This window comes from Homo sapiens, chromosome 7 (assembly GCF_000001405.40).
Source record: "Homo sapiens chromosome 7, GRCh38.p14 Primary Assembly".
In the NCBI taxonomy this organism is placed as follows: domain Eukaryota; kingdom Metazoa; phylum Chordata; class Mammalia; order Primates; family Hominidae; genus Homo; species Homo sapiens.
Genome location: NC_000007.14, coordinates 136,205,296 through 136,220,519, shown reverse-complemented (window position 1 = coordinate 136,220,519; position 15,224 = coordinate 136,205,296). Strand labels below are relative to the sequence as shown.

General features: G+C 35.7%; 1 long non-coding RNA gene across 13 annotated transcripts in view, besides 1 other annotated feature; it reads right to left on the bottom strand.

Moving 5' to 3' along the window:
* The window catches only part of LOC105375523 (uncharacterized), a 459,019-nt gene that overhangs the window by 219,446 nt on the left and 224,349 nt on the right, over positions 1-15,224 (bottom strand). The gene's annotated exons all lie outside the window — the stretch shown is intronic.
* Positions 9,833-10,033: a silencer, noted in NCBI's record as "peak6756 fragment used in MPRA reporter construct". NCBI's record gives its function as "represses an SCP1 promoter by STARR-seq MPRAs in K562 erythroleukemia cells {active_cell/tissue: K562}" and the evidence as "EXISTENCE:reporter gene assay evidence [ECO:0000049][PMID:32103011]".

Genomic DNA, 15,224 nt, shown 5'->3' with positions numbered 1-15,224 from the left:
AGAGCCCAATGCCATTCCTATATTTTTTTAGCTTTTTCTTCTGGCAAGGTCTTTGATAAAAATCAGCATTAGTTATCTATTGCAGTATAGCTCATCACCCCAAAACTGAGTGACCTAAAACAGCAATGATGACTTACTATCTTTCACAATTTCTGAGGGTCAGGAATTCAGGAGCAGCTTGACTGGGTGGTTCTGGCCTGACGCCTATCATAAGATTGTAGTCTGATGAGGGCCAGGGCTGCAGTCGTTGAAAGCTTAACTGAGGCTGAGGGATCTGCTTCCTAGGTGGTTCACTCTCATGGCATGTTGGTGCTGGTTTTCAGTAGGAGGCCTCAGTTTTTCTCCCTATGAAAAACTGTCCCTCCACAGGACTACTTGAGTATTTTCACAGCATAGTAACTGGTCTGCCCCAGTGTGGGCAATATAAGAACAAGAGCAACCAGGCAGAAGCTGCATCCTCTCTGCAACCTAGCTTTGGAAGAAACATAGCATCATTTTTGCCACATTCTCTGTTGAAAGTGAATCACTAAGTCTGGCCCACCTTCAAGGGAAGAGGCATTAAACTCCATTTTTTGAAGGAAGGAGGATGAAAGAATTTGTGACCATATCTTTAAAACCATAACATGTAAAGTCTACAGTAAACTTCTGATAATAAAATTATACTTCTTATCAATTTTTATTTGGGAAAAATTTTTATACCTCCTTAAGAATCTAAAAGGCATTAGGAGATGAGAAGAATTAGGCTGAGTCTCTCCATCTGTATCTGCTGAAGGTCTCTGTACCCATTTTCTGATAGAGACAAAAAAAAAATAACCCACAAAAGGACAAAAGCGAGGATGAGTGCCTGCAGGAGCGCAAAAGGACAAATGGCCAATCAACTCACACAAAATACAAATTTGACCCCACATCAAACTTTGCTGATAATTAGCAAAGAGTGCCAAAAAGGAGCTACCACACATATCACATCAATATTTAGGAGGTCCTAAATGTGCACTTCCACACTGGGATGAGATCTGGTTTTGTTCAACTAGCATAGGGTATAAGCTAACATGGAAACCTTACTCAGTTTCGGACCCTCTAAGTCTTTATACCTCATTAACTAACTTCTGCCTTTAAGTGTAGCTGCATCACATCAATCCACAAAGTGCAGGTTTACACACACACACACACACACACACACACACACACACATCCAGAAATCCCAAAAATATTCCTCAGTTTAATCATCAGTAAATTATAAATCCCTACTTAAACTCATTTATCTTCAGGCTTATCAATTCTGTCAGCCAATGCTCATACAAACTGCCTGCAGTGTCCTGGAGGAAAGAGAACCACTCTTAACCTTTTCTTTCTCAGCGAGAGTTAAGGGAATCCACAGAGTGGAAGTCATTGGACATTCTTCTTTTGATTTTTTTATTTTCCAATTTCATTTTCTGATTTAATCATTTCAATCCTATAGTTTAAATAAATTCATCTAAAATTCCTTCCAATTTAACTACCCTCTCTTAAAGAATTTTACAGGTAAAGTTTTTCATGTTATTATGGAAATATAAGCATATATATTTTTCCCTTATTTCCTTTTAAATTTTCTTTTCTGCCTCCCACACCACCCTGCAATTTGCTTTCTGTACCCTTAACTTTCATCTCTGCTCTAAAGTTCTTTATGTTCAGTTTTAAAGTGCTAAAATATTCATGGAAAACTAACTATAATCTCTTTAATACTAAGTAAGTACTTTGACAATGGCCAGGCTTGGGGAAAACATAATTAACGAGTCAGTTAGAGGAGTTTCTAAGGAAATTAGTTTTAAATAGATGGTAGTAATTAATCAGTAAAAACAAATACCTGATGGAAGGAGGGAGGTTTCCCTGGTGATTCGAAAAGAACAATTAAGGCTGAATTTGGAATATTGACCTGTGTGCATGCTGTGGTGGTAATCTCTCCTTTCTGGCCTTTGAGAAGCTAAATGGAGTATAAAGCAATCTTTCCATGACTTAAATAAGTACAGGGCAAGCATGCTGAATAGAAGGTAGCAGCATTAGACAGCTTAGAAAGACTTACAGTTAAAGCAAAAGTGTATGAGCTTTAACACCTAGAAGGGGTTGCTAGAGGTCTCAGAGCCATGACTGAGTTTCAAACAAGCAAGGAAATATTGAGAGTGCATTGTTAATTAAAATACAGGCCCAGAGCTAGGACTGGATCAGGTAAAAATCTGTTTTTCAGGCTGAACTCAGACTTCTCCACAACCTAAAACGAGATGGAATAAAATAATGTTTAGGTTGTAGGTAAAAATAATTGTGGATCAAGGTAAGCTGTTTTCATGTGTTTGGGCAAAAGCAAGGTATTTGTGAGTATGTAAGGATTCAGAAAAAAAAATTTTAAAGGATGAAACTGGTATGAAAGGACTGCTAGTGAGCATGAGGACTTAAACGTCAATTTTAATAATTGCACAACAATAGATGCATGTACTAAAACGATTTTTAAAAGGGAAAATATGTAATTTAAAATAATGAGTAAAATCTAACTAAAATCTTATTTCAAATAGGAATTAGACAAAATCAGGAAAAAGTAAGAGGAAGATAAATTCTTTAACTTTTGAGAAGTTTTTTAACATTTCATACAAAGAAATATTTCGGTGGCTTAAAATAGGAAAAGCATTCACTGGTAACATTTAAAACAAGATACACAGGCATGGCCTTTTAATTTGGTATAAGTAGAAAATAAGTTATGAAAATAAATGTAAATTATTTATATTAAGTTATTAGGATGCAGACTCTTCTTAATTGGGCTTAAAAATAAACTTCAACGTCAGAGTGCTTATAATAAACACATTAAAAATAAATTACATAGAATCAATAAATTTAAATGATTAGCAAAGTAAACTGCATTTGAGCACAAATAAAATTAAGAAAGGAAATACTAGTATCAGTCAACATAGAATTATAGCTTAAAAATTATATTACAGCCGGGCACGGTGGCTCACGCCTGTAATCCCAGCACTTTGGGAGGCTGAGGCGGGCAGATCACAAGGTCAGGAGATCGAGACCATCCTGTCTAACACGGTGAAACCCCTTCTGTACTAAAAATACAAAAAAAAAAAAAAAATAGCTGGGCGTGGTGGCGGGCGCCTGTAGTCCCAGCTACTCCGGAGGCTGAGACAGGAGAATGGTGTGAACCCGGGAGGCAGAGCTTGCAGTGAGCCGAGATCGTGCCACTGTATTAAGACCTGATATTTATTCACTTTAAAAGCTTATAACCAAGCCTTTAAATATATGAAATAAACACCAAAATGCACAAAGTATTAAAAATATAACTGCTTGGTAGACTACATAGTTTCAATCTAAGACTTACAGAGTAGGTTTAAAAAAAAAAAGATGAAAACAGAATAAAACTGAATTATTACATTAGAACATCATCTGTTAGATAACCTAAGTAGTGAATGTGCCCAAACAATTCAATTGTTCTAAAACTGTTTTTTAAACTCTTTGGGACAGCTGATGGCATGTGGTGATCTGGGAGGAGGGTGACCCATGGCTGATTCCTCTGGAGCTCAGTCCACACAAACCAAATGCCAGGGATGTGGATCCAAAACGGTTATCACAGCAAGGTAGCCAGCTACAAACATGCAATGATGTTCCTCATTTACATATTTTTTAGAATTATGAATATTGTAAAGTGGCCACTGAATTAGCTTCAGCATACTACATGAATGAGCATACATTTTCTTACTACTCCTTCAATTCCTCTACAAAACTGAGTGAGGTTGCATTTCCTGATTCAGAGGTTGCATTTCCTGATTCAGAGGTTGTAACTAAAATGTCCTGTTGGGCAAACAAAAAAGGAAATTTAGATAACAGATGTGTAGCCTCTGACAGGGCAGGTCTGACTCTTACCAAGGATTCTTCTTTCTATAGTACCTCACATGAGACATCACAGAAACAAGAACAATAAAATGTTACCCCTGGCTGTTGTTAGGTACTTAGATTTGAAAAATGGAGCTTCAAATCATCTTGATTTCTTTTTTCTTTTTTTTTTTTTGTTTTTTTTTTTCTGTCGTTGTTGTTGTTATTGTTGATTCGTTTTTTGAGATGGAGTCTCACTCTGTCGCCCAGGCTGGAGGGCAGTGGTGCGATCTCAGCTCACTGCAACCTCTGCCTCCCAGGTTCAAGTGATTCTCCCGCCTCAGCCTCCTGAATAGCTGGGATTACAGGCACCTGCCACCACGCCCAACTAATTTTTGTATTTTTAGTAGAGGCGGGGTTTCACCATGTTGGCCAGGCTGGTCTCAAACTCCTGACCTCAAGTGATCTGCCTGCCTCAGTCTCCCAAAGTGCTGGGATTACAGGTGTGAGGCACCATGCCCATTCCATCTTGATTTCTATAAAGATTTTAATGGAACTACAAAAAGTAATAAATAAAATATTGTTGATCCCTGTCCAAATACAAAGTAAACATTGCTCATTCATTTGGCTTGAATATTTGTCCCCTCCAAAACTCATGTTGCAATTTATCCATGTGACAATATTGACAGATGGGGCCTTCAAGAGGTGATTGGATCATGAGGGCTCTACCCACATGAATGGACTAATGGATGAATGAGTTAATGGACTGATGGGTTATCATGGAAGGAGAACTGGTGGCTTTTTAAGAAGAGGAAGAGAGACTTAAACTAGAATGTTAGCACGCTTAGCCCCCTTGCTATGTGGTGGCTTGCACCACCTCAGGACTCTGCAGAGTACCCACCAGGAAGAACGTCTTCACCAGATGCACCCCATTGACCTTGGACTTTGCAGCCTCCAAAACCATAAGAAATAGATTTTATTTCTTATAAGTTACCCACTTATATGTATTCTGCTATATGCAACAGAAAATGGATCAAGATACTTATCTATTTGCATATTCAGCAGACAGTATATATATATACACATACACACACATATTATATATATGCAAATTCCATTCAACTTATAAACTTCCTACCAAAGAAAATTAAAGATCTTGCTGGCTAAATGTCCTGCACACCTTGTAAACAATACTGCTTAAAAGGATTGTGATTTGCTTCCCTTCCATAATGAAAGTTGTGGATCAATTTTCAATTTCCTCAAAATGTGCAAAAGCACTTAAGTTTTCTTTACTTTGTAGAAATGGAAGGAGGTAGCCTCCCTAGACATGTGCCTACAAGATGACTATAATTTTTGCTTTCCATAGATGTTAAAATATTGGCGTGCCCTAAAATCATATTTGCAAAGCATAGGACAAAAAGAGTATCCTTCTCTAATTTGCAAATGCATTGAGGATGAGAATGGAGAGAAGTATGGAAACAGAAATGTATGCACTGTTTCTCCAAAAATGTTTGGTGGTCTATGAAGAGACCATGAGGAACCCAGGAAAGCATGTACTGACTGCACTTGAGCTGTTGAAAGTTATGTGGAGATTGCAACAAAAACACATACAATGCAAAACAAAAAAAAGTCATTTAAAAAAATAGGGCTGTTTCAGAAGTGAAAAAACAAAGTCACTAGAAAAGGGAAACCAAGTTAAACAGGACTTTCTCATTTCTTTACTAAAATGGTAACTTACATGAAATCCAACTTCAATTTCACAAGTTCAAATTACTTCTATGCTTCATAACCATTTTCCATGACAAAAAGAGGCTTAACTTATGATAATAACATCCAATGTGTTTTGGAATATCTAAACATGAGGGAAATTTTAGACATGGAGGGCCTACCTGATGGATTTACAGATGAAAGGAACTTGATTGACAAACAGCTACCAAAATACTCCTGTAGATACAAACTGGATAGGCGTTTTTAGTGAAGTGGAAACTAAGTTCTATAAATCTAAACATTTGCTGTTTACTAGGGAGTAAAATTCTAAGAATTCCATGCTAAAACACTTTTTTTGAGAGAATATTTAGCTGGATGTCATTTCATTTAACTGCCACTAGGAAACAGTGTAATGTGGTCTTAAAGGGGCAGAGATGCAAGTCAAAATAAATTTTATATTTCAGTTTGAGTTCTACCACTACATAAAAGAAGAGAAGAGTATCTGGGAGGCTGCTGGCACTTCAGAGAAATATTACTGAAAAGAAAACAGAAATATCAAAAACATCTTACTGGTGTATCATGGAACAGAAAGAAATATGTCATTGTTAATTTTATTAATTTTATTAAATATAATGTTTGGTTAACTAATCCCATTTTATTTACGTTCATTTTTTTAAAGGTATTTTATTTACTTAGCTTAAGAATACACAATAACACAACTTACAAAAGTAGAATATCCAAAGAGTTAAAATCTCTAACAGAAATATTATAAAAATAGTGTTATATTTTTGTTGTCTATATCAATTCGTTAATTAGTCCTATTATTAATTACTAATTTCAACCATTAACTAGTTCTATTGCTTTTTAAATAATATGCATGTATTTATATTTACATTTCTTATATGTATGTAACAGAAAAGTAATACAGAATAACACAATTTCAAATCAATACCTATATTTTATATATTTGCTATAATATATGTGTATACTTATTATATATTATATACTTTTTGGTATGAATGGAATGATTGTGATGATTTTATTGTGACCAACTTCTGACAGTATCCGGGGTGACACTCTCAGAAGCTGGTCATACTAAATTCTTCACAAGCAAGGATGGTATATCCTAAGAATGTCAAGATGGTTTATTAAATCTGTTAGTGGTCACATAAAATGATGCTCAAAATCATTCATCAGGGAAATGTAAATTAAAACTATAATGATACCACAACACATGCACTATAATGGTTAAAATTTTAAAAGTTGACAACATAAAATGTTGGAGAGGAAGTAGAGTAATTAGAATTCTCAGATATTGTTGATGGGAATGTAAACTAGTAAAACTACATAGAAAAAATGTGTGGCTTTTTTTGAGTGTTAAACATACACTTATGAATATTCATAAGTTTTTATCAAAAAGAAATAGCACATCAAAAAGATGTGCGCATGAATGCTTACAGCAATTTTATGCATAATAGATACAAACTTGAAACAACCTACGTATCCATCAACAAGTGATTAGAGAAACAAAATATGTGGCATATCCCCACTGTGAAATACTACTCAGCAACAAAAAGGAATAGGATGCTAAAATATGCAACAACATAAATGAATCTTGCTATGCTTCGAATGTCTGTGTCCCTTTAAAATTCATATTTAAACCTCACCCCTCGGCCACCGCACTGTCTGGGAAGTTAGGAGCGCCTCTGCCCAGCCCCCGCACCATCTGGGAAGTGAGCAGCGCCTTTCTCGGCCTGGCCCGCCCCACTGGGAAGTGCGGAGCGCCTCTGCCCGGCTGCCGTGCAACCCTCCAGGTGTGAAGAGGCAGCCTTGTGTGTGATCTTTCTGCCCTCCCCAAGTTTGCATTTTCCACAGTAAAGTTTACTTTTAAATTAAAAGATTAAAAACAAAACAAAACAAAACACCTCATCTCCATTGTGGGGTACTAAGAGGTGGGCCCTTTAGGAGGTGATTAGGTCATGAGGGCTCTTCCTTCATGAATGAAATTAGTGCTCTTACCAAAGAAACTTAAAGCTTTCACCCCTTATGCCATGTGAAGATGCAGCAACGAGGTGCCATCTTTGAAGCAGAAAACCAGTCCTTATCAGACATCAGATCTGCAGGTGCCTTGATCTTGGACTTCCCAGGCTCCGGAACTGGGAGGAATAAATTTCTGTTGTTTATAAATTACCCAATCTAAGTTATTTTGTTATAGCAGCATGAGCGAACTAAGACAAATCTCAAACTCATTCTGCTAAGTGAAAGAAACTAGAGATAACAGTTGCTTTGATTCTATGTATATAAAATTCTAGAAAATGTAAATTAATCTATACTGATAAAAACAAAACAGTGACTGGCTGGAGCCTGGAGCAAAGTGACAGATTTTCTACAGGGGGGCACAAAGAATCTATTAGGGATGATGGAAATATATTGCAGCTGTGCTTTCACAGAGAAATACATCTGTCAAAATTTATCAAATTGTGTGATGTTTTTATTTAAATGATGTATTTTATTTTACATAAATTATAACTCAAAGTTTAGTTAAAAATAAAATTTCAATAAACACAAAATAAGTAACTCTATCAACATAGGTTGATAGAGAGAAACAGCATGATCATGCTAATAAGCCCTGAAAGCATTTGGAAAAACTCAATAGCAATTCTTGATTTTTTTTAAAAAAAAGGAAAGTATAGCAGATAAGACACATCTGAAGTCAATATTCAGCAATAATCTCAATTGTGGACACTACACACATTCTCTCTAAAATTAGTGGCAAGAGTGGCTATCATTCCCTACATTAGTAGTCATTGTATATCTACTAAAAACAGAGAATTAGAGCAAAACAAAGCAATGAACATGAATCCAACAAAAAATTATACAACTTTCAAAATAATTGGATGAAAAATAAGACCATAAGAATAAAGTTTTACATGTTAACAATAGCCAGCTTAAAAAAAAAGAAAATGGGAGATAAATCCTGCTCATCATTGATAATTGTAGCCCAAAACATAAAATACTAACAAGCAATCTTACAATGTAAAGTATAATACACTTACAAAGAAAAGTAAAAACATAGAGACACAAAAGCAGTTTTGAAAAACTGTACAGATATTCTGTCTTAGATAAGACAGAAGTAAATTCTCCACAAATTAATTTATCATTTTAATTCAGTGCCAATCAAAACCCACTCTGGTAAAATAAAAAAAGAGATCCTAAGTTAATCTAGAAGATAAATGGATTATACTACCCAAGAAGAAGATTCTAAAAATACAGTATAACAAAGAATTTTCCATAATACATAGGAAAATTATACATCTACAATAATCAAAAACATGTAAACAGAAACTGAACAGTTTAGCCAAAAACACACCCTAGTATATATCAGAACCTAATATACAATAAATGTGCCATCAAAATAAATGTGAAGACCAAATGATGCCAAAGCATCAGTTAACTATTTTTAAATGATTTTAAATTAGGTAAAAACTGCATGTCATACACTAAAAGAAATTACAATGAATTAACAAGTTAAAGGTTTGTTATTTAAAAAAAACTAAAGCTTAAACAACTATTTTAAAATATAGGTGAATACAGATAACTTCTAACGTGAAAATGTATTTAAACCTATAATTATTTCTGAGGAAGTTAACTCAGAAATAATTATAGGTTTAAATACATTTTTTAAATTATCCTTTAATTGTGAAATTGCAAAAGTGACACATACTGTAAGTACAATTTTATAGAGTAGAAAGCACTCATTTTCCCTTGCCCATGCCAATCTATCACACCTCCCAGAACTAAAATCTATTATTAATTAGGTGTGTATCTTCCTAAGTTTTTTCCTACATTACATGAATATTTTTAATGTGAATAAACAGTATTTTTAAATTTTTATTCTGAAATAATTATAGATTCACAGGAAGATATTAAGAAATGTACAGGGAGGTCCTGTGTACACTTAACACAGCCTTCCCTACGTAGGTAACATCTTGCATCAACATAGTGTATCTATCAAAACCAGGAAACTGACATTGGTACAAAGCACAGAGCTAATTCAGATTTCACCAGTGTGATGGGTGGGTCTATGCAATTTTATCACATATGTAGATCTATGTAACAACCACCACAGTCAAGAAATGTGAGCATTCCATTTCCACAGGCTCCCTCGTACTATCCTTTTATCCACATCCACATCCTCCTCCTCCCATTCCTAACTCTTGGTGACCAACAGTCCCTTCTCCCTATCTACAGTTATAATAACATATGAATGTTTTGTAAATGGAATCATGCAATATGTATCCTATTGAGATTGGCTTTTTTCACTTAGCATAACTACCTTCATGTTCTTCCAAGTTGCTGAATGTATCAGTAGTTTTCCTTTTATTGCTGAGTAGTATCCCATGGTATAGACATATGAAAGTTTATTTAACCATTCACCCCTTAAAAGAAATTTGGGTAATTTCCAGTTTTCTGCTATTAAAAACAAAGCCTCTATGAACATTCATGTACAAGTTTCCATATAAAATGTTTCTCTATTAAGTTAAAACCTTCTTAAGTTTTAAATTCCCAAGAATGCAATTGTTAGGTCATATGGTAATTATTCTTTTTCTGGAGGGGGGAATTGCTAAACTCTTTCCAGAAAAGCTGTAATATTTTACATTTCTACTAACAATATGTGAGTAATCCAGTTTCCCTGCATTTGATGTTATTATTTTTTATGTTAGCCATTCTGATAGTATGTAGTGATAGCTTATTGTGGTTTTAATTTGTATTTCCCTGATGGCTCATGATGTTGAACATCTTTTCATGTGCTTATTTACCATCTCTGTTTCCTCTTTGGTAATATGTACATTCATGTCTTTTGCCCATTTTCTAATTGAATTGTTTGTTTTTACTGTTGAGTTTTCTGAGTTCTCTCTATAGGTATTATGTATTTTAGATACTAGCTCTATGTCAGATATGTGGTTTGCAAATATTTTCTCCCACTCTGTAGGTTGTCTTTTCATCCTCTTCACTTGGGCTTTCACGGAGCCAGTATTTTCAATGTGATGGGATTCAATTTATCAATTTTTCCTTTTATAGACTATGCTTTTGGTGTCAAGTCTAAAAGTTCTTTTCTTAGTTCTAGGTCCCAAAGATTTTCTCCTATGTTTGTTTCTGAAAGTTTTATAGTATTATGATCTACATGATTTATTTTATGAGGCTTTTTGTATAAGATGTGAGATTTAATTGAAGTCCTTTTTTCTTTTTGGTTGATGGTGGTCGCAGTGCTCTACACCATTTCTTGAAAATGCTTTCCCTCTCCCACTGAATCACCTTTGCTTCCTGACCCAAAATTAATTGGTTATATTCATGTGGGTTTGTTTGTTTGTTTGTTTGTTTGTTTTGAGACGGAGTCTTGCTCTGTCGCCCAGGCTGGAGTAAAATGGCGCGATCTCGGCTCACTGCAACCTCCGTCTCCCAGGTTCAAGCCATTCTCCTGCCTCAGCCTCATGAGTAGCTGGGATTACAGGTTCCCGCCACCAGGCCCAGCTAATTTTTGTATTTTTAGTAGAGATGGGGTTTCACCATGTTGGCCAGACTGGTCTCGAACTCCTGACCTCAGGTGATCTGCCCACCTTGGCCTCCCAAACTGCTGGGATTACAGGCATGAGCCACCGCACCCGGCTGGGTTTATTTTTTATTTCTCCATTTTGTTCCATTGGTGTATGTTCTACCCTCTACCAAAACCAGTCTTGATTGTAGCTTTCTAATAGGCCTTAACATTAGGAAGAGTGATTTATCCTACTTTTTCCTTCTCTTTCAAAATTATTTTGACTATCCTATGGTCTTTTCCTAAAATATACATTTTAGGATTATCTTGTATATCTCAACAAGAAATCTCACAGTGATTTTGATAGGAATTATGTTAATCCTATAGATCTACACAGGGGGAATTGACATCTTTGCTATTTTCCATCTGAATACATGCATTTTTAAAACATCAACTCAAGAATGTGTTCACAAAATTCAAAGGCACATGATATAACCAACAAAAATGAGAAAAAGAAATTAATATTCTTAATAGAAAAAACACTCACACTAATAAACACTGTTATTCCCAATATGCTAAAAACCTGAATAGAACAATCCACAGAAGTAATAATTTTAAAAGCACAACTTCATAACCAAAGAAATGCAAATTGCAACTAAAATGAGATAATTGTTCCTGGGCGCGGTGGCTCACGCCTGTAATCCCAGCACTTTGGAAGGCCAAGGCGAGTGATCACCTGAGGTCAGGTGTTCGTGACCAGCCTAGTCAGTGTGGTGAAACCCCGTCTCTACTGAAAATACAAAAAATTAGCCTAGTGTGGTGGTGGGCACCTGTAATCCCAGCTACTCGGCAAGATGAAGCAGGAGAATCACTTGAGCTCAGGAGGCAGAGGTTGCAGTGAGCCAAGATCGCGCCACGGCACTCCAGCCTGGGCAACAAGAGCAAGACTCTGAAAAAAAAGAAAGAAAAGAAAAGAATTGTTTATACTTGCCAAATTGAAAAATATTTTAAAGAGAAATGCTGAGGGCTGAGTGACGAAAATGAAGTGAGGCAAGGTCTTGGTCCCTGTTAGTAACAGTCTAATTGCTATAGTGATGCCATTTGGGAATATCTATCAGAAACCTTCTGAAGGTACAATATACATTTTAGAATTATCTTCTCTATCTCAACAAGAAACTTTGCTAAGATTTTGATAGGAATTTTGTTAAACCTATAGCTCTATATAGGGTAAATGGACATGTTCACTATGTTCTATCTGAATACATGCATTTCTAAAACATCAACTCAAGAATTCAAAGGCCTTTCTTCCCACGGTTTTCATTTATAGAAAACGGTCTTAATGAAAATAATCTGAAGTGCAATGGACAAATTAAATTCAAATGTATATCACAACATTAATTGCAGTAGTGAGAAGGAAAGAAAACACTAAACGTCTAATGATAAGACATCATTAAATAAACTGTGAAATAGCCATATGATGCAGTATTATACAGCTGTTAATAAATGCTGTATTTGAAGAATTTAGTGGCATGATTGTTCACCATATGGAACTGAGAAAAAAGAGCTATAGCAAATATGTTAATGTAATGTAATCCCAAAAATATTTTTAAAGTATATTCCTGTACAGAAAAATTATCTGCTGGGAAACATACAAAAATAACATTTGCCAATGTCGTAAAAGTTGAATTATTTTCCTTTTTATACTTCTTTGTATAGTCTACTTTTTCTACAATAAACATGTATCACTTCTATAATCAGAAAAATATTCATTAATAATGTGACCAGCAGTTCTAGTAATTATTATTTGGTAATAATAAGACTAAGTTTCCTAACTCAGATTATGAGCTGATGTAGCAGTGGCCCACGTAGAAAATCATTCTAAGAATTGGTTGTGTGGAAGTAAAAGAATCTTTCATCCAGCCACATTCTACCCATGGTTCAACTTTGTATTAGTCTGTTTCCATGCTGCTAATAAAGACATACCCAAGACTGAATAATTTATAAAGGAAAGAGGTTTAGTGGACTCACAGCTCCACATGGCTGGGGAGGCCTCACAATCATGGTGGAACATGAAGGAAGAGCAGAGGGATGTCTTACGTGGTAGCAGGCAAAGAAGGCATGTGCAGGGAAACTCTCCTTTATAAAACCATCAGATCCCATGAGACTTCTTCACTATCGCAAGAATAGCACAGGAAAGACCTGCCTCCATGATTTAATTACCTCTCACCAGGTCCCCAAAAACATAGAGATTATGGGAACTACAATTCAAGATGAGATTTGGGTAGGAACACAGCCAAACCATGTCAAACATCATATAGAAGTTGGATGTGCATTAAATAAATAATTATCTACCAGTACAATCTATAGATTTGAGAACAGTAACGTAAGTTTTAGTTGATATTAAAATCCTTAACGATAATAATAGGGTACCCCATCACCATACAAACATTATCACTTAAATTTTGTTGTTGTTTTTCTGAAAAGCTCTTTAGATGGAAACAACGTAATTTTTAACTGGTATCTTTGGGATTAGGGTACACACACACACACCCCACACACACACACACACACACACACACACACACACACAAATGCCTCCATATTGAATTTAAGGTGATATTAAAAGATTGGTTTAGAGATAGTATTCTCCTGCATTATTCCATCTGGATGATTTATTTTGCAAGGGCCCTCTCGATGCTAATAACCTTCACTACATTTTCCCTCCAATATTCAGTTCTATGGCCAGACCTTGAAATCACTCTAATGCCAACTCGTGGCATTTCAATATACTGCTTTCTGACATTAAACACCTATGCTCCAGGCCTCCTATTCCCTCAAAGCCTATTCTTCTGCCTCATTTAAACCTCACATGCCTGGATTTATTCTTTCCTCTCAATTATTTCTCCCTTCTTGATTTCACATTCATCCTTGGATCCTGTGGTATATATGCTAGAAAGGTTAATTCATGCTAGCTACTATATTAGACAATTCCAAGATCTTGGTGGCTTGATACAATAAAAGGCTTTTTCTTGCTCACTCAAAGTCAAATGTAGGTTGATCAGCTCTCTTTGGCAGTCATTCTAGAATCCAGAAGCCTTCCATTCTAAATACACAACCTCTGGTACTTTGCAGAAAAGAAAATGGAAAGTCAAAGTTTTGCTGAAGACATTTTTAAGAGCCAGGCCAAGAGTGGATTATGTTACTTGAACCTATGTTTCATTGGCTAGAACCTAGTCATACAACCATTAGCTAATTCCAAGAATGGCTGAGAATTGTAGATTTCCTTTGTGTCTAAGAAGAGAAAATGAGATTGGTGAGCATCTAGTCAAGGCTTTGTCATAATATAACTGTAACTTCACTTCTAACACAGCTAACTCTGTCATGATTTGTCTTTCTCCCACAGCTACTCATAATTTCCCGAGACCTACAGCTTTTTAATCATTGGTATTTGCTACTCTATATTTCTTGGTATTCCTGAAAATACAGTTATAAAACTCTGTGCTACTATGATTTAGGATCTTCAGCCTCAGTTGGGACCTCAGCATAGATCAGAAATCTTTTTCTCTGCCCCTTTTAAACATTCCCTTACAGTTTCTATGACAAATATTCAACCCTACTTCCCACCTCTTTCTCAGAAAATGTTTACAAAGAACAAAAAGTTAGATTATTGTGATGATTAATTTTATATGTCAACTTGGCTAGGTCATGGTACACAGATATTTGGTCAAACACATCTGGATGTTGCCATGAAGATATTTTTCAGTTGAGATTATCATTTAAATCAGTAGACTTTGAGTAAAGCAGATTACCCTCCATAATATCGGTGAGCCTTATCCACTCAGCTGAAGGCCTCAAGAGAAAGAATGACCTCCTTTGAAGAAGAGGAATTCTGCCAGAAGACTGCATCCAGATTCTGGTTGCAACACCAGCTTTTCCCTAGGTATCCAGACTGCCAATCTGCCCTATAAATTTTCAACTTGCCAGCCTCCACAATCATGTGAGCCAATTCTCAAACTCTCTCTGGAGAGAAAAAGACAGAGAAACACTTCCTCTTGTGCTCTAGACACATTCCATTCCAACTTCTCACAGGCTTTGAACCATTAATTGTCCCATCAGAGTTTCTGAGTTTACTTCTCAACTGACA